At 50.0% G+C, this 17809-nt stretch overlaps 1 long non-coding RNA gene across 1 annotated transcript, besides 3 other annotated features; it reads right to left on the reverse strand.

Moving 5' to 3' along the window:
• Window positions 695-1634: an enhancer, noted in NCBI's record as "H3K27ac-H3K4me1 hESC enhancer chr17:77721486-77722425 (GRCh37/hg19 assembly coordinates)". NCBI's record gives its function as "activates a minimal SCP1, AML or CMV promoter by ChIP-STARR-seq in naive H9 embryonic stem cells {active_cell/tissue: H9 hESC(naive)}" and the evidence as "EXISTENCE:reporter gene assay evidence [ECO:0000049][PMID:30033119]".
• On the reverse strand, window positions 10352-12035 carry LOC124904070 (uncharacterized). Its single transcript, XR_007065927.1, has 2 exons — window positions 11850-12035; window positions 10352-10721 (listed from the first exon to the last, which is right to left on the reverse strand). It is a non-coding gene; the product is annotated as an uncharacterized LOC124904070 (long non-coding RNA).
• Window positions 13108-13609: an enhancer, noted in NCBI's record as "H3K4me1 hESC enhancer chr17:77733899-77734400 (GRCh37/hg19 assembly coordinates)". NCBI's record gives its function as "activates a minimal SCP1, AML or CMV promoter by ChIP-STARR-seq in primed H9 embryonic stem cells {active_cell/tissue: H9 hESC(primed)}" and the evidence as "EXISTENCE:reporter gene assay evidence [ECO:0000049][PMID:30033119]".
• Window positions 15324-15824: an enhancer, noted in NCBI's record as "H3K4me1 hESC enhancer chr17:77736115-77736615 (GRCh37/hg19 assembly coordinates)". NCBI's record gives its function as "activates a minimal SCP1, AML or CMV promoter by ChIP-STARR-seq in primed H9 embryonic stem cells {active_cell/tissue: H9 hESC(primed)}" and the evidence as "EXISTENCE:reporter gene assay evidence [ECO:0000049][PMID:30033119]".

Raw genomic sequence — 17809 nt, forward strand, 5'->3', positions numbered from 1 at the left:
GGCAGAGGAGGGAGGGGAGCACAGGCACCTCCAGGCTCAATCCCAGTGGGGCCTGGCCAGCTCCTTCCCAGAGAGGCGCTGCTTGCTTATGCAAACAAGCCCTTTCTTTCCAGAATGCAGGGAGCACGGGCCCAGATTCTCTCCTCTGCACTGACGTCCGGCCTCTGTCAAAGGCAGGGACTTCCTTGGTTCACCATAAGCCTTTTCTTGTGTCCCGGGTCGGAACAGGAGAACCTGTAGGTTCATGTAACCGACAAGTCTGTTCGCGATGCCGTCCTGGGCTCCTTAAGGCCTGGGCTCCCCATCTTTAGTATGGGCGGGTTCATCTCCCACAAGCCGATCCTAAGAGCCAATAACCACGCCTGAGGCTTCCGACCTAGGAGCTGCAAACACCTGGCGCGGGGGACTCTCAGGGGAAAGAAACAGCAGGAATTACTCTGTCCCCAGCTCCAGGCCGGCAGAGGACCCGAGTGAGGTCCCCGGGTTCCCCGGGCAAGCAGCAGGGACCGAGGAGGGCACCGCGTCCCGACCCCTGCCCCGGCGCCCCACCAGGAGGGATGTCAAGGCGAGGGAGGATTCCCAGGGGTGCGTGCTGGGGCAGCCCAGTTCCTCCGCGGGCTTCTTTGGGACGAGCAGCCTCCCCTCCCCCACGCCCGCCTTCTGAGGTGCGCAGGGCCCCCTCCCCACCGCAGCGGCGCGGGGGCTGCAGGAGCATCTGTTGCCATGGTGACGCGCGGCGCTGCGCTCCTCGGATCCGGCGCCACCGCCGCCACCACCGCAGTCCAAGAAGCCGAGAGCTGGGGCTCAGGCGGGACCGGGACACCGGCATCCCGCACACGCGCCACACACACTGCACATGTGCGACGGGCATCCACGCACGCTGCACACCGGCACACTCACAGGCACACTCATGCGCTTGCCACCCCATCCCCCCACCCAGACACAGACACACAACACAACACACACGCACACACTGCACACACCTGGCACCGTGTGCACCACCTCATGCCACAAGCAGCCACACACCCCACACGCGCCCGAACAACACCCTTCACCCACACTGCACACGCTGCAGCCCTGTACACGCCACATAACACACGCACCCCACACACCCACTCGGGACCCCGACGCGGGTGAACAAGCGATGGGAACAGGCCCTCGGGGTGGGCCGTAGCGGGTAGGGCGGGCGGCGGGGGTCGCACCCGGGTCGGCGCACGCGCAGCAGGCTAGTGCCGCCCCCTCCCCCTCGCCGGCTGCCACGTCTTTGCCCTCTCCGCGGCCGGGCCCTGCGGGGCACCCTGGGTGCCCGACGGCCTCCGGGAGCGCGGTGGGCTCCAGCCCCGCACCCCGCGAAGGAACGGTCAGCGCAGTCCCCCGGGCCCTCCGCCCCTCGCCGGGCCTTGCGCGCCCCCCGCCGCCCGGAGCGCCTGAGTACCGCATCCCAGGGCGCGGCGCAGCCAACGCGCAACCCGCCCAGGTCAGGGGTGCCCGCGCCTGGGCCGCCGGCGGTGCGGTCCCGCAAGGGCGAGGGAGGGACTGGGCCTCGGGACCCCCATCCCCGGGATGCCTCCGTGCCTAGCCCGGACCGCGCCCTGGAAGAGATCGCCCTTCCATCCTGTGGGGTTGGAGGAGGGATGGGGCACCTCTGGGGCGGGGCAGGGACCCGGGCCCCTCGCGCACCCGCGGAGCCGGGAAAGCGATCCCCGAAGGCCCCAGTCTCTCCTGGCGCCTGGAGAACCCAATCAGGCTGTGTTTTTGGCTTTGGTTTTGGTGACAGATCACTGTGTGACTTTTGGCTTCAATGTCTGAAGAGGTTCAAACAGTGGAGAGACATAACCCTAAGAGAACTGTCCATCACCACGGATCAATTTACGTAAATGAGTTTTCTCACGGTCCAAGCCCATCAAAATAAAAACAGGTTTGGAATTGATTCTGGGCTCTGTCCCAGATAAGAAATAATATTTATCCAATGACATCTGAACCATTGGGAAAAAATACAATCCCACCCATCTCATTAAGAGATGCAGTCCAACAAAAATTTAACTTTTATGTATATAATAAACATATACTGCAATTTTAATATATTTATGCTGGTTTGATCAATTTAACAATTCAATTTAATATTCAATCCAGAATAAATTTTTTAAATACTGAGAGCCTTAGAGTCACAGGAAATAAAATATTTTAAATCTAAATTATGGTTCAAATATTGATATTTCTAGACCTGGTCTAATTCTAAAAGAATTTACTTTGATGAGCATTTTTGAGACATAGGTTAATATTTTTTAAAGTTTGAATAACTGATGTGCCTGTTCTTGTTGCAGACATATGCTTGGGTGAGCAGTGAATTACTTTCAAACATAAAAATATTTTTTATTACAATAAGGTTTTGGAGAAGAAATGAAACAGAACCCAGAGGTAAAGAAGAAAAGGATCAAAAAGAACCTGCCCTTTTATTGGGTCACATTGCTACCTTATTTCTATTTCATTGGATACACTTAAAAGGATTGCCCAAGGAAAACTGGAGGCAGATTGCACTTAGAAAAAAAAAGCTTTCTTGCAAAGGAGCCAGACTTCAGAAGGACTGACTCACCAAATACAAAAATCCAACAAGTATTTAAAGGGAAAAAAAATTCCCAAGAGAATCAAGGTTAGTAAATGTACATTCCTCTGTCTCTGGTGGTTAGCGGCAGCTTCCTCACGTGATTATGCTAATCCTAAAAGCTAGGACACCGGCTTGGAAAAGCAAAAGTCACAGCTAAAATTCTTGTTATTGTAGAGTCCAGGTCCACAGGAAGTAGTTAAGGTTTTATAATTTGGGGACTCTGTGATTTTTGGTTTCAACTGAAGAACTGTGACTTCTTCAATGATATTGGAAGCAGGATAAAATGTCAGCTTTGGCTTCTATAGAGAGAACAGCAGTTTTATTTTTTTAAATGCCAAAATTTACAGTACACTGGAAATCACATACTTTGCAACCATGTAAACTTCATGGTGGAAAAATGGTAGCTGTCAATCTTAAAAGGTGTCAAGGGCTATTATTTTTTTAAATTATTTTCCAGGCCATGTGGGTGAAGACACTTGGAGGCCATGACCCTAGGCCAGTTCCTTTTTGGACAGAAGAAGAAACTGAGGTTTAGGGGAGGAGAGTGACCTGTCCACTGTCCACAGCTGATAACAAGCAAGGGAGGCGGTGCAAACGCCCAACAGCCCAGGAAAGATGACACCCCCACCACCCATCGTTAGAGAAAAGTAAATTAATGCCACAGCACACCCCCTAGGATGGCTAGAACTTTTTATTTTTTTTAAAAAAAAGAAAATAACAAGTGTTGGTAAGGAGGTAGAAATGTTGCAGCCCTCAGAGATGGCAGGCTGGAGTGTAAGACGATGCAGCTTCCATGCGAATTCTGACAATTCCTCAGTAAGTTACACATGGAATAATTTATTGAATTATTGAAATTATTTGAATAATTTATTCAAACTTTTTTTTTTTGAGATGGAGTTTCGCTCTTGTTGCCCAGGCCGGAGTGCAGTGGCATGATCTTGGCTCACTGCAACTTCCACCTCCCAGGTTCAAGCGATTCTCCTGCCTCAGCCTCCTGAGTAGCTGGAACTACAGGCACACACCATCATGCCTGGCTAATTTTTGTATTTTTAGTAGAGACGGGGTTTCACTATCAGGCTGGTCTTGAACTCCTGACCTCAGATGATCCACCCACCTCGGCCTCCCAAAGTGCTGGGATGACAGGCATGAGTGAGCCACCGCGCCCAGTCTCAAACTTTTAAAAACAGTAACCGCGCCCAGTCTCAAACTTTTAAAAATAGTAACCAATGTCTTTTAAAATGCTCATCAAGTAAACTCTTTTAGAATTAAACCATATCTGGAAATATCAATATTTGAGTCATAATTTAAATTTAAAATTTCCTGTGTAAACATATGACTCAGCAATTACACTCATGGGTATACACCCAAAATACTTGACAGCAGGTGTTCAAACAAAAACTTGCACACAGATGTAACAAGCAGCATCATTCACACTCACCAAAAGGTAGAAACAAAACAAATGTCCATCAAAGATGAATGGACAAACAAAATGTGGTCTATCTATATAATGGAATACTATTTGGCCATGAAAAGGAACAAAGTACTTAGCCGGGCATGGTGGCTTATGCCTGTAATCCCAGCACTTTGAAAGGCACAGGTGGGAAGATTGATTGAGCCCAGGAGTTCAAGACCAACCTGGGAAACATAGCAAGACCCCGTTTCTACAAGCAGAAAAAACAATTAGCCAGGTGTGGTTGTGCACAACTATAGTTCCAGCTACTTGGGAGGCTGAGGTGGGAGGATCTCTTGAGCCCCGGAGGTCAAGGCTGCAGTAAACTATGATTGCACCACTGCACTCCAACCTGGGTGACAGAGCGACACGCTGTCTCAAAAAAAAAAAGGAATGAAGTACTGATACATACTTTAATATGAATGGACCGTGAAAAACATGCTCAGTGAAAGAATTCAGACATAAAAGGCCACATATTACACGATTCCACTTATAGGAAATATCCAGAATAGGTAACTCCATAGACAAAAAGGAGATGGGAGGTGGCCAGGGGCTGGGGGAGGAGGGTGGGAAGTGACTGCCTAATGGATTTCTTTTTGGTATAATAAAGACGCTTTGGAGCTAGATGGTGGTGATGGCTGTATAACATTGTAAATGGACTAAGTGCCACTGTTAAATGGCTAAAATAGTAAATGTTATGTGCATTTTTTTTTTTTGAGACAGAGCCTCCCTCTGTCTCCCAGGCTGCAGTGCAGTGGCGCAATCTCAGCTCACTGCAACCTTCACCTCCTGGGTTCAAGTGATTCTCCTGCCTCAGCCTCCCTAGTAGTTGGGATTACAGGCTCACACCACCACGCCCAGCTAACCTTTGTATTTTTAGTAGAGACGGGGTTTCACCATGTTGGCTAGTCTGGTCTCAAACTCCTGACCTCAGGTGATCTGCCAGTCTCAGCCTCTCAAAGTGCTGGGATTACAGGCATGAGCTACTGTGCCTGGCCCTGTTATGTGTGTCTTACCACAACTAAAAGAAAACAGATTCTGGGGCCACATCTTAAAAAAAAAAAAAATAGTGGAAGGCAGATAATGACCATGTTTCAGACAGGGTTTGCCCAGTGGCTTCCACAGAGCTGTCCCATCTTTGGGGTGGTTAATAAAAGCTTCTGTTGGGAGACTCAGAGGGAAGGGCTGGGTGAAGCGAGCCTGACTTGTCCTCACCTGAGATCCATCAGCTCCCACCAGAGCCCGGCAGGAGCCCGGACTCCTTGGTCGGAGAAGCACGGAGAAGGTGGCCAAGGGCACCGCAGAGAGCCCCAGCAAACTTCCCCTTCGGGTTTTTCTGGGCCCCAGCTGTGGGCCGTCAACCAAACTTTGTGAATCGACACTGGTGACTCGACATGGAAAATGACTCTCCGTCATCCGATTCAAACGTCATCAGATTGCTTTTGGTGTGGGAAGCAGAGCACACCTTAACAAACACCTCCCCAGCTGTCCCTTTTAATAAAATACACAGGTTGAATGTATTTCCAATTCTGGAATTAATCAGGGAAGTGGGTGGTTTTTTTTTTTTTTTTGAGATGGAGTCTCGCTCTGTCGCCCAGGCTAGACTGCAGTGGCACTATCTCAGCTCACTGCAAGCTCCGCCTCCCGGGTTCACGCCATTCTCCTGCCTCAGCCTCCCCAGAAGCTGGGACTACAGGCGCCCACCACCACGCCCGGCTGATTTTTTTGTATTTTTAGTAGAGACGGGGTTTCACCGTGGTCTCGATCTCCTGACCTCGTGATCCGCCCGCCTCGGCCTCCCAAAGTGCTGGGATTACAGGCGTGAGCCACCGCGCCCGGCCGGAAGTGGGTTTTTTAATCACCAGCTCTCGGGAGAAACACATTCTGGAGAGCAAAAGGCAAGAACCAACCTTTTCAACAAACCAACCTGCGGAGAAACCCCTCTGCGAGTCCAGTGTTGTAAATGAAAATGTTACCAGGCCGGGTGCGGTGGCTCACACCTGTAATCCCAGCACTTTGAGAGGCCGAGGTGGGTGCATCATCTGAGGTCAGGAGTTCGAGACCAGCCTGACCAATACGGTGAAACCCTGTCTCTACTAAAAATACAGAAATTAGCCGGGCGTGGTGGCAGGCGCCTGTAGTCCCAGCTACTCAGGAGGCTGAGGTGGGAGAATTGCTTGAACCCGGGAGGCGGAGCTTTCAGTGAGCCGAGATCACGCCACCGCACTCCAGCCTGGGCAATCGAGCAAGAGTCTGCCTCAAAAAAAAAAAAAAAAAAAGAAAGAAAGAAAAAGAAAAAGAAAAGAAAACGTTAGCTACACACACAGCTTAGGGGCGGCTCCCTGAAATTTGTAACTGTTTAGCCCCGGGTGTGTCTGTCCAGGATGGGTCATGTCTTTCAAGCTGCACATGCCCACAGGAGAGCTCACCCCCAAAATGCTGCAGCTGTCACAAGGTTGCCTCTTGTTCATTTGGTTCTTAACATGGTTGTTCTTCGGACTTTGATAAAGAATGAATGGTTTTGGCTGGGCGCAGTGGCTCACACCTATAATCCTAGACCTTTGGGAGGCTGAGGGGGGAGGATCGCTTGAGTCCAGGAGTTTGAGACCAACCTGACCAACATGACAAAACCCCATCTCAACTAAAAATACAAAAAAAGTAGCCAGGCATAGTGGCGGGTGGCTGTAATTCCAGCTACTCGGGACACTGAGGCACGAGAAACGTTTGAACCTGGAAGGTGGAGGTTGCAGTCAGGTGAGATGGTGCCACTGCACTCCAGCCTGGGTGACAGAGGGAGACTTTCTCTCAAAAAAAAAAAAAAAAAAAGAATTAATGGAAATGGTTTTGGCGGAGTGCAGTGGCTCACACCTGTAATCCCAGCACTTTGGGAGGCCAAGTAGGGAGGGTCACTTGAGTCCAGGAGTTCAAGACCAGCCTAGACAATGTAGAGAAACCACATCTCTACAAAAAAATTTTTTTAATTAGCCAGGCGTGATGGTGCGCACCTGTGGTCCCAGCTACTTGGGAAGCTGAGGTGGGAGAATTGCTTGAGCCTGGGAGTTCAAGGCTGCTGTGAGCCATGATGGCACCACTGCACTCCAGCCTGTCTCAAAAAATAATAATGAATAGAAAAAGAATTAATGTTTTCCATTTATATCGTTTTCAAAAGAGGTTTGCTCCTCTCATATGAAACTGAGACAGTCAATTCTGCAAAGAAATTCAAATGGCCAGTAAAGCATAGGAAAAGATGTTCATCCTTTCTAAAGAACCAAAAGTTCCAACAACAATCAGATGCTATTTGGATCTAATGATTGTTTTTGAAGGCAATACTTGAGGCTGGGGCCCTGCCACCGCCCACCCAGAATGAGACCCATTAATCATCATCACCCAGGGCTTACTCTTTCTTTTTCGTTATTGGTTTTCACGTCCAGCTTTGCCATTGATCATACACGAGACCTGGGGCAAATCATTCACTCCCTCTGTGCCGAGTTTTCTCTTTGTTCAGCTGAGGAGCTCCACGTGGTATTTGCACTGTAGAGTGGGCAAGGCCCTCTGCTATTCCGTAGGCTGAGTGGGGCCCCGTCCTGCTACAGTGACCCAAAGGCAATTGTGAACACAAGACAAAAGCGTTACGTATTTTGTGTTGTTTTCATCTGTTCCTGCTGCTGTCACAAAACACCGCAGACTGCGTGATTTATAAGTAATAGAGATTTATTTCTCACAGTTCTGAAGCTGGGAAGTCCAAGGTCAAGGATCTCCGCTTCCCAGATGGCACCTCGTTGCCACATCCTCCAGAGGGGTAAAATGCTGTGTCCTCACATGGAGGAAGGGAAGCCCTTTTATAATAAGGCTCTAATCCTGCCAGGCACGGGGGCTTATGCCCGTAATCCCAGCACTTTGGGAGGCTGAGGCAGACAGATCACTTGAACTCAGGAACTCAACACCAGCCTGGGCAACATGGCTAAAACCTGTCTCTACAAAAAATTTAAAAATTAACCAGGTGTGGTGGTGTACACCTGTGGTCCCAGCTACTCGGGAGGCTGAGGAGGGAGGATCACTTGAACCCAGGAGGTGGAGGTTGCAGTGAGCCAAGATTGTGCCATTGAACACCAGCTTGGGCAACACAGCAAAATCCCATCTCAAGGCCACGCGTGGTGGCTCACGCCTCCCAGCACTTTGGGAGGCCAAGGTGGGTGGATCACTCGAGGTCAAGAGTTCGAGACCAGTCTGGACAACATGGTGAAACCCCCGTCTCTACTAAAAGTACAAAAAAGTTAGCCGGGCGTGGTGGCAGGACCTGTAATCCCAGCTACTTGAGAGGCTGAGGCAGGAGAATTGCTTGAACCCAGCAGGTGGAGGTTGCTGTGAGCCAAGATCACGCCACTGCACTCCAGCCTGGGCGACAAGAGTGAGACTCTGTCTCAAAAAAATAAATAAATAAATAATACAAATCTCATCTCAAAATAAAATAATATAATATATGAGGCTCTAATCCCTCCCCGGAGGGCAGAGCCATTACGGCCTTCTCACTCCTCAGTACTGTTGCACTGGGGATTAAGTTTCAACGTGAATTTTGGAGGGACACAAACATTCAAACCACAGTTAAGTGTTGACAGTGTCCTGAGGCGACAGGTCCTTGCTTCCCTCTCGTCCATGTTGATGATCAGGCGACCCGCTGGATTGGTTTCCTGCGGCTGCTCTGAGAAAGCACCACAGACTGAGGGCGTTGAGCCACCCAGGTGTGTTCCCTCGCAGGTGTGGAGGCCAGAAGTCCAATCCAGAGAGGCCGTGCTCACTCTGCAGGCTCTGCAGAGGTCCCGTCCTTGCCTCTCCCAGCTGCTGTGGACGCCAGTGATTTTGTTTCATGTTTTTGTTTTTGTTTTTTTGAGACAGAGTTTCACGCTTGTGGTGCAGGCTGGAGTGCAGTGGCGCCATCTCGGCTCACTGCAACCTCCACCTCCCGGGTTCAAGCGATTCTTCTGCCTCAGCCTCCTGAGTAGCTGGTGTTACAGGTGCCCGCCACCACGCCTGACTAATTTTTGTATTTTTAGTAGAGATGGGGTTTCACCATGTTGGCCAGGCTGGTCTCAAACTCCTGACCTCAGGTGATTCATCCATCTCGGCCTCCCAAAGTGCTGGGATGACAAGCGTGAGCCACCGCGCCCAGCCGGGACACCAGTGATTTTGGCCCACGCCTTCCTGTGTGCTGCTCGGTATGAAGGAAAGCCCTTTCCCTGAAACCCAGAGACCCTCCACCTGCTTTTATTTTTCACTTTTGATAGAGACACAGGTAGTGGAAATAGTTTGCTTTCTTCTTAACTATAAGAAAAGCAACAGCATAAACACAGTTACAAACAGTGGTCAACCTCTGGTCTCAGTGCTGAGTGACCCTAGAGAGTGCTGGGATCTGTGGCAGGAATGAGAGGCTGGTGAGGAAGCCGCCTATCCTCATGTGTCGACCAGCCCAGGGTGGCCCGATGACCCTGTTTTTGTTTTTGTTTTTTTTGAGACAGTTTTGCTCTCGTTGCCCAGGCTGGAGTGCAGTGACACCATCTCGGTTCACTGCAACCTCCGCCTCCCGGGTTCAAGCGATTCTCCTGCCTCAGCCTCCTGAGTAGCTGGGACTACAGGCGCGTGCCACCACGCCCAGCTAATTTTTGTATTTTTAGTAGAGATGGGGGTTTCACCATGTTCGCCAAGGGGTGAACAGGCTAGGTGTGCCCAGGGCACTTCATCCCATCTGCTCAGCCACACCAAACCCAGAGATTCAGGGTGCAACCTGTGGTGATCTCGAAGTGAAAATATTTCCCTTGGATTATCTCATAACATTTCACAGTGGAACTAGAAGGAGGATGTTGAGGCATAAATGAAGCCAAAGGCTTAATTGGAGGGATGTGGAAAGGCAACGGAGAGGCCGCAGCATGGTTGTGTGGAAGAAGGGCTTCAGCGTTGTTGAGTTTCAATTGCAAAGCCACCTGGAAGCAGATGGGGAAAGCCTCTCCATGCAGGAGAAAGAACAGTAAAAGTTCCCAAGAAAATGTTCTCGAGAGCCTCAGCCCCAAACGCAAAGTGCTCAAAGAGCTGCCACTGATGCCCAATATCAGGCCAGCCCAGCCTAGAATAAGGACATCAAACACATTGGAGAAGGGAAGGATAGAAGCTGTTCCCCATCATCCCCCAGGCCCCATCCTGGGAGCCCCGTCACCAACCACCTTTCTCTTTAGTCCTCAGCTGGCCTCGATATTGTCACCAAGTAAACTTTGGGGTCAACAAACATGGGTAGGAACCAACATTAGCACGGTCAGCAAATGCGCCCCTGCTCCAGTAGCTGGGTCTTTATATTGTATCAGGAATCCTCCTGGTCCACCTCCCCCTCACCCATTCCTTCTACTCAACCAAGCTCCCGTACCACGCCACCCCCACCCCTCTTCATCGGCCAAGCTCTCCCCCACCTCCCAAAGGCAGACACAACCTCATCTCAGCTCGCCACCGTCCGCCAGGGGAGACTGACACACATTGACCGCTCCCCGTGCCACCTCTGCTGTGCACTAATGCATTCGCCTAATTTCCAGTAGTCAGTGACATTTCACTGTGGAGGCAGAGGTTTCCACTCACGCCAACTCAAGTCACTGCAGCCTTCATGGAGCTCAGGCAGGATTCGAGGCCCTAAAGAGGGGTGGTAAATAGTGAAGGAGGTTACAGGCACAAGGCAGAGAAATGATGGTGCCTTCCCATTCCAGGTTTACTTTTTTCTAAAGCATTTACTAAAACTAAATTGGAACATCTAAGTTGGTGATTGCATGATTGAGATATTGGAGCAAAAGAACAGCTTGGTTGATAGTTGAGTTTTCACATGGACAGTAGAATCACCGACGTTTTGCTGTAGGTATAAAATGATTTCCAGGCTGGGCAAGGTGGCTCATGCCTGTAATCCCAGCATTTTGGGAGGCTGAGGCAGGCAGATCACTTGAGGTCAGGAGTTCGAGACCAGCCTGGCCAACATAGTGAAACCCTGTCTCTACTAAAAAAAAAAATACAAAAATCAGCCAGGTGCGGTGGCACCCACCTGTAGTCTCAGCTACTGGGGAGGCTGAGGTGGGAGGAACACTTGAGCCCAGGAGGCAGAGGTGGCAATGAGCCAAGATCAAGCCACTGCATTCCAGCCTTGGTGGCAGCGGGAGACTACATCTCAAAAAAAAAAAAAAAGATTTCCAGCCGGGCGCAGTGGCTCACACTTGCAATTCCAACACTTTGGGAGGCCAAGGCAGGTGAATTGTTTGAGCCCAAGAGTTTGAGATCAGCCTAGGCAACATAGCAAGACTCCGTCTCTACAAAAAATACAAAAATTAGCCATGTGTGGTGGCACACATCTGCAGTCCCAGAGACTCAAACTACAAGTGGGAGGATCGCTTAAACCTGGAAGTGGGAAGCTGCAGTGAGCCGTGATCATGCCACTGCACTCCAGCCTGGGCAACAGAGTGAAACGCTGTCTCAAAACACAAAAAAAATTATTTCCTTCTCAAGCCTTCCAAATACCTGGTCTTAGCGCCTTTAATATACAACGAATGCTTACAAATACAACAGAAAAAGATGAGTAACCTAATACAATGGATAAATGATTTGGATAATATATTCAGACAATTCTCAAAAGAAGTATGCAAATAGCCAAGATGTCAGCCTCAATCGTAATGAAAGAAAATAAATCAAATGGAGTTGTAGTTTTCATCTTGTGGCATCTTTTAAAGCTTGATAAAAGCTACTGCTGATAAGAAATGGAAATAACAGGCCTCTCACCTCATGTCAATGTGCCTGGGCACAAGCAGAAGCTTCTGGAAGGGCAATTTGGCTTCATCCATCAAAATGTTAGGGCAGGTGTGAGGGCTCATGCCTGTCATCCCAGCACTTTGGGAGGCTGAGGCAGGAGGATCGCCAGAGGCCAGGAGTTGGAGACCAGCCTGGGCAACAAAGTGAAGCCCATCTCTACAAAAATGAAAAAGGAAAAATTAGATGTGGTGGCGCATGCCTGTAGTTCCAGCTACACAGGAGGCTGAGGTCAGAGAATCGCTTGAACCTGGGAGGTAGAGGTTGCAGTGAGGTATGACTGCACCACTGCAATCCAGCCTGGGCAACAGAGCAAAACTCTGACAAAGAAAGAGAGAGGGAGAGAGGGAGAGAGGGAGAGAGGGAAAGAGGGAAGGAGTGAGGGAGGGAGGGAGGGAGGGAGGCAAGGAAGGAAGGAAGGAAGGAAGGAAAAGATATATTGAGCTATTTCTTTAAGAGCTGTACTCTTTACTATATGTAAGTTATATCTCAATTTTGTAAACTTTTTTTAACCATGAGCATATGTTACATTTATATATAGGGAAAACACAATATATTTTTAAAAATTAAAAAGACAGGCTATAAATATATTTTTATCATGACACTGTATATCTTAGAGAGAAAACAATATATAAAATATATTTAAATATACATAAATGTTTAAAACATAAAATATGAATATTTTACCAAGAGCATATATTACTTTTATACACATGGAAAACACAGTATAGAAGGAAGACACAAGACCAGATCCGGGAATGGTGAATCTCCTCCCCCCAGGCAAACTGGTCCTTCTCACTTGGGCCTGAGGAGGACTCCACACCCCTCCCCAGCCCATACCTCTCAGTCTCACCACCCCCTTCCTGGCACTTGGCCACCAGCTTCAGGGCTGGAGACATTTCTTTCTTTCTTTTTTTTTTTTTAAGATGGAGTCTCGCTCTTGTTGCCCAGGCTGGGGTACAATGACGTAATCTCAGCTCGCTGCAACCTCCGCCTCCAGGGTTCAAGCGATTCTCCTGACTCAGCCTCCCGAGTAGCTGGGATTACAGGTGCGTGCCACCACGTCCAGCTAATTTTTGTATTTTTAGTAGAGACGGGGTTTCACCATGTTGGCCAGGTTGGTCTTGAACTCCTGACCTTAGGTGATCCACCCACCTCAGCCTCCCAAAGTGCTGGGATTACAGGCATGAGCCACCACACCCAGTCAGGGCTGAAGACATTTCTAAATGCTTGCACTTGAGAAATGGTGAGCTCAAAAGGAACTCCTGCTTGCCTGGCTGAAGGCCTTGTCCAGGAGCAGGCCTTGTCCTGGCTGTAACTGCGTCTGGGTTCACACAGCTTTGCATTGACAAAGACGGGAGAAAGGGGCTCTGGGGAGCCCTGGGCAGCTTCCAGTAGTCAGGGGAGGTTTCCTGCCACGACTACAGTGGGGCGACCGAGGGCAGAGGGCAAGTTCAGGCAAGCCTTGAAGAGACCCAGCTGTGTCAGCACAAAACGCAACCGTCTTTCCAGCTGTTGACCTCATAGCTGCCAAGTCAGTGCCCAAGGGGCTGGAGACAACAGGGCACCCACAGCTGTGCTCCGGGGCGGACACCTCAGCCCCCCAGGCAGCAGTGTGGATAACCCACGTGGCCTGGATGTGGTGGGTAAAGTGCTGGCATGCACCTTTGTTCGGGTGGACTTTGGGTCTTGTTGGTCAGATGGTCGTGGCTCCGCTGCTTTGATCCAGGGAGAAACAGGAAAGCAGAAGAGACACTCACTCCAGCAGGTAACCTCCGCCAGGCCGGCCCCACTCTATTCCCAGGGCGCTCCTGGGCCCCTGCTGCTGTCCAGAGGTGGTGGTTTTTCTTCCTTAAGTGAAACCACCAGTGTCTCCGGACTTGAGAACAAGCACCAGAAAGGTGAGGACCACCTGGCACTTTGTTATCCAGTCGCACGTTTCAGCTGGAGGCCAGCCCGCCGACATAACCCTTGGAGGGCCAGGCCAGGAGCATCTCCTCCTTTTCAAAGAAGGGGAAGCCGAGATGTGGGCAGGCTTGTCCCCACCCAAGGCAGCTGAGAAAGCCGAGAGCTCCTCTCTCCATTCTCACTCTCCAAACATCCATGGCCAACCCAGACAGAGCCCCCAGGCTCTACAGAAACCTGGACACCAGAGGGACAGACAGGACAGGAGAGGGGTGACAGTGTGGTAGAAAAATTACGTGGTCATTGGCCAGGCGCAGTGGCTCACGCCTATAATCCCAACCACTTGGGAGGCCCAGGTGGGAGAATGGCTCTAGGCCAGAGGTTCAAGACAGGCCTGGGCAACATAGTGACACCCTGTGTCTACCAAAATAATAATTAATAATAATAATAATAATAATAATTAGCCTGTAGGCCAGGCACGGTGGCTCACGCCTATAATCCCAGCACTTTGGGAGGCCAAGGCGGGCAGATCACTTGAGGTCAGGAATTCGAGACCAGCCTGGCCAACATGGTGAAACTCTGTCTCTACTAAAAAAATAAATACAAAAGTTAGCCAAGCGTGGTGGTATGTGTCTGTAATCCCTACTCAGGAGGCTGAGGCAGGAGAATCAATCACTTGAACCTGTAGGCGGAGGTTGCAGTGCACTGAGATTGCGCCACTGCACTGCAGCCTGAGTGACAGAGCGAGACCCTGTCTCAAAAACAAAACAAAACAAAAACAAACAAAAAGCCTGTAGTCCCAGCTACTAGGGAAACTGAGGCAGGAAGATCACTTGAGCCCAGGACTTTGAGGTTGCAGGGAACTATGATCGCCACTGCACTGCAACCTGGGTGACAGAGCAAGACTCCATCTCTTAAAAAAAAATATTGACTGGGCACAGTGGCTCACACCTGTAATCCTAGCACTATGGGAGGCCAAGGTGAGTGGGATTGCCTGAGCTCAGGAATTCAAGACCAGCCTGGGCAACACGGTGAAACCCCGTCTCTACTAAAAATACAAAAATTAACCAGGCGTGGTGGCACACGCCTGTAATCCCAGCTACTCGGGAGGCTGAGGCAGGAGAATTGCTTGAACCTGGGAGGCGGAGGTTGCAGTGAGCCGAGATCGTGCCACTGCACTCCATCCTGGGTGACAGAGCAAGACTCCATCTCAAAAAAAAAAAAAAAAAACAACTTAATGTATGTCTACAAGGCAACAAGTCCTTTGATATATAGCAATGTAATAACGTTGTCACACAGCTGCCAACCAAGCACCGGTCCCTGCCAGGCTCCACTCCCTCTGGAGTTCTCTTTGTCCTGATAGTTTTCCCACGTGGAATCTTCTACTCCAACCCCTCCCAACTCAACGGCAAATTCTGAATCTAAATCCAGAGTGCCAGCCTCTGGAAGCTCTGGCCTCGTCCCCACCCCCAAGCACTTGTTCACCCCATTTCCATTGCTTGCTGCCAGCCGCTGGCCTGGCCTCTCCCCAGAGGCTCCGAGGATGCCCAGCAGAAAAGCCCTGGCTCTGGGCAGGTTTTCGCAGACAAGACTCGCACCTCCTCTTGGACTCACGTCCCCACCCTCCAGGGACCCATAAGAGAGAAACCGGTGGCACAGATGGCAGTGCACGGCTCCCAAAGGGACCGAGTTGGCAACAGCAGGCAGTGCCTGGCCAACCCCATTGCACTCCACGTGGGGCATCCGCTGGGAGGCCAGGGTCAGGTGGGCCCCAACATTCAGAATGACAGACAGAAGTAGGAAAACGAGGAAGCAGGCCAGTGCCCATGCGGGGAGATCAGTCTTATTCACATTTTTCAAGAGATAACAGAAATCTGAACTTTTAGGTAAAACATCCCGTTTCTTACATTTCAGTTCCAATAAGAAAGCACACGTGCCGATTAGGGAAATGCAAATCAAAACCACCATGAGATGCTGCTTCACACCGACTAGGGTGGCTAGAATCAAAAAAGCAGAAAATCGCAAATGTTGTCGAGGATGTGGAGCAATTGGGCCCCTCGTGCAGTGCTGGTGAGAAGAGAAAACGGTGGAGATGGTTTGGGAGTTCCTAAAAAGCATAGAATTCCCATAGGCACCAGCAATCCCACTCCTGGGTATACACCAACAAAAACTCGCACACAAGTGCTCCTAGCAGCATTATTCATAAGAACTGAGCTCAAAAGTGGAAACAACATCAGTTGTCCACTGGAAGATGAATGGATACACGCAACGTGTCCACATGCAATACAGGCGTGGTGGCTCACGCCTATAATCCCAGCACTTTGGGAGGCCGAGGCAGGTGGATTTTGTATTCAGCCATAAAAAAGCTGAAGTACCGATGCAGGCCACTGCCTATGTGCACACGGAAAACATCGTGCTCAGTGCAAAAGGCCAGTCACCACAGGCCACATACTGGCTGGCCACAGTGGCTCAGGGCCGGGAATCCCAGCACTTTGGGAGGCCAAGGTGGGAAGATCTCTTGAGCTCAGCAATTTGAGACCAGCCTGGCCTACATAGGGAGATCTCATCTCTACACAAAATAAAAATAAAAAATTTTAAAAAGGCCACATGAGATTCCGTTTATATGAAATGTCCAGAACAGGCGAATCTGCCGAGACAGAAAGCAGATTGAGGGTTGCGAGGAACAGGGGGAAGGGAGAGAAAGTATGGGAGTTTCTTTTGGGGATGGTGGAAATGTTCTAAAATGGATTGTGACAATGGTTGCACAAGCTTATGAAGATACTAAAAATCATTGAATTTTACACTGTAAAATGGTGAGCTTTATGTTCGTGGATTATATTCCAAACAGACAGTGCAAGCGGAGCCAAGGATATCTATGGGCCAGATTGCACCGGGGGGCAGTACAGCTCCCCCTCAACCCTGAGCCTGAGCGCCGACCCCCAGCACTCAGTCTCACTGTGGGCTGGAATCACTTTTTTCTTATTCCTTCTCTAAGACAAAAATGTGCAGTAGAATTCCCCAATGAATACTGTGCCACCGACACCCACTGCTGCTGGTGATGGCAGTAGCCGGCCTCTGGGGAAAGCAAGGTGGCACCTACAACACTGGGCCCCATGGAACCACGGGGGCCTTATGCGAGGGAGGCAGGAGCTTCAGGGTCAGAGCAGAGATCAACGGAACATGATTGCTGGCTCTGAAGGTGAAAGAAGGGGCCGCCACGAGCGAAGCAATGTGGACCTCCTTAAAGAACTGGGAAAGGCAGGGAAACAGATGTCCCTTGGAGCCTCCAGAGAGAACCAACTCGGTCAGCACCTCGGCTTCATCCTCATGAGACCTGGGTCAGACTTCTGACCTCTAAAAGTGTGAGAAAATACATTTGTCTTGCTTTCTTTTTTTTTTTTTTTTTTTTTTTTTTTTGAGACTGAGTCTTGCTCTGTCACCCAGGCTAGAGTACAGTGGCACAATCTCGGCTCACTGCAACCTCTGCCTCCCGATTCAAGCGATTCTCCTGCCTCAGCTTCCTGAGCAGCTGGGACTACAGGTGCGCACCACCACACCTGGCTAATTTTTGTATTTTTAGTGGAGACAGGGTTTCACCATGTTGGTCAGGCTGGTCTCAAACTCCTGATCTCGTGATCCACCTGCCTCGGCCTCCTAAAGTACTGGGATTACAGGCGTGAGCCACCGCATCCAGCCTTGGATTGTTTTAAGTCACTAACTTTATGGTCATTTGTTCCAGCAGCAACAGGAAACTAATACAGCAGGTGATTTAATCTCCTTAAGACTTCATTGCTAGGCCAGGCGCAGGGGCTCCTGTCCAGAATCCCAACACTTTGGGAGGCCAACACGGGAGGATTGGTTGAGCCCAGGAGTTTGAGACCAGCTGGGAAACATGGAGAAACCCTGTCTCTATAAAAAAAAAATATATATATATATATACAAAAAATTAGCTGGGCATGGTGGCACACGCCTGTAGTCCCAGCTACTAGGAAGGCTGAGGTGGGAGGACTGCCTTGCTTAAGCCTTGA

This window comes from Homo sapiens, chromosome 17 (assembly GCF_000001405.40).
Source record: "Homo sapiens chromosome 17, GRCh38.p14 Primary Assembly".
NCBI lineage: Eukaryota > Metazoa > Chordata > Mammalia > Primates > Hominidae > Homo > Homo sapiens.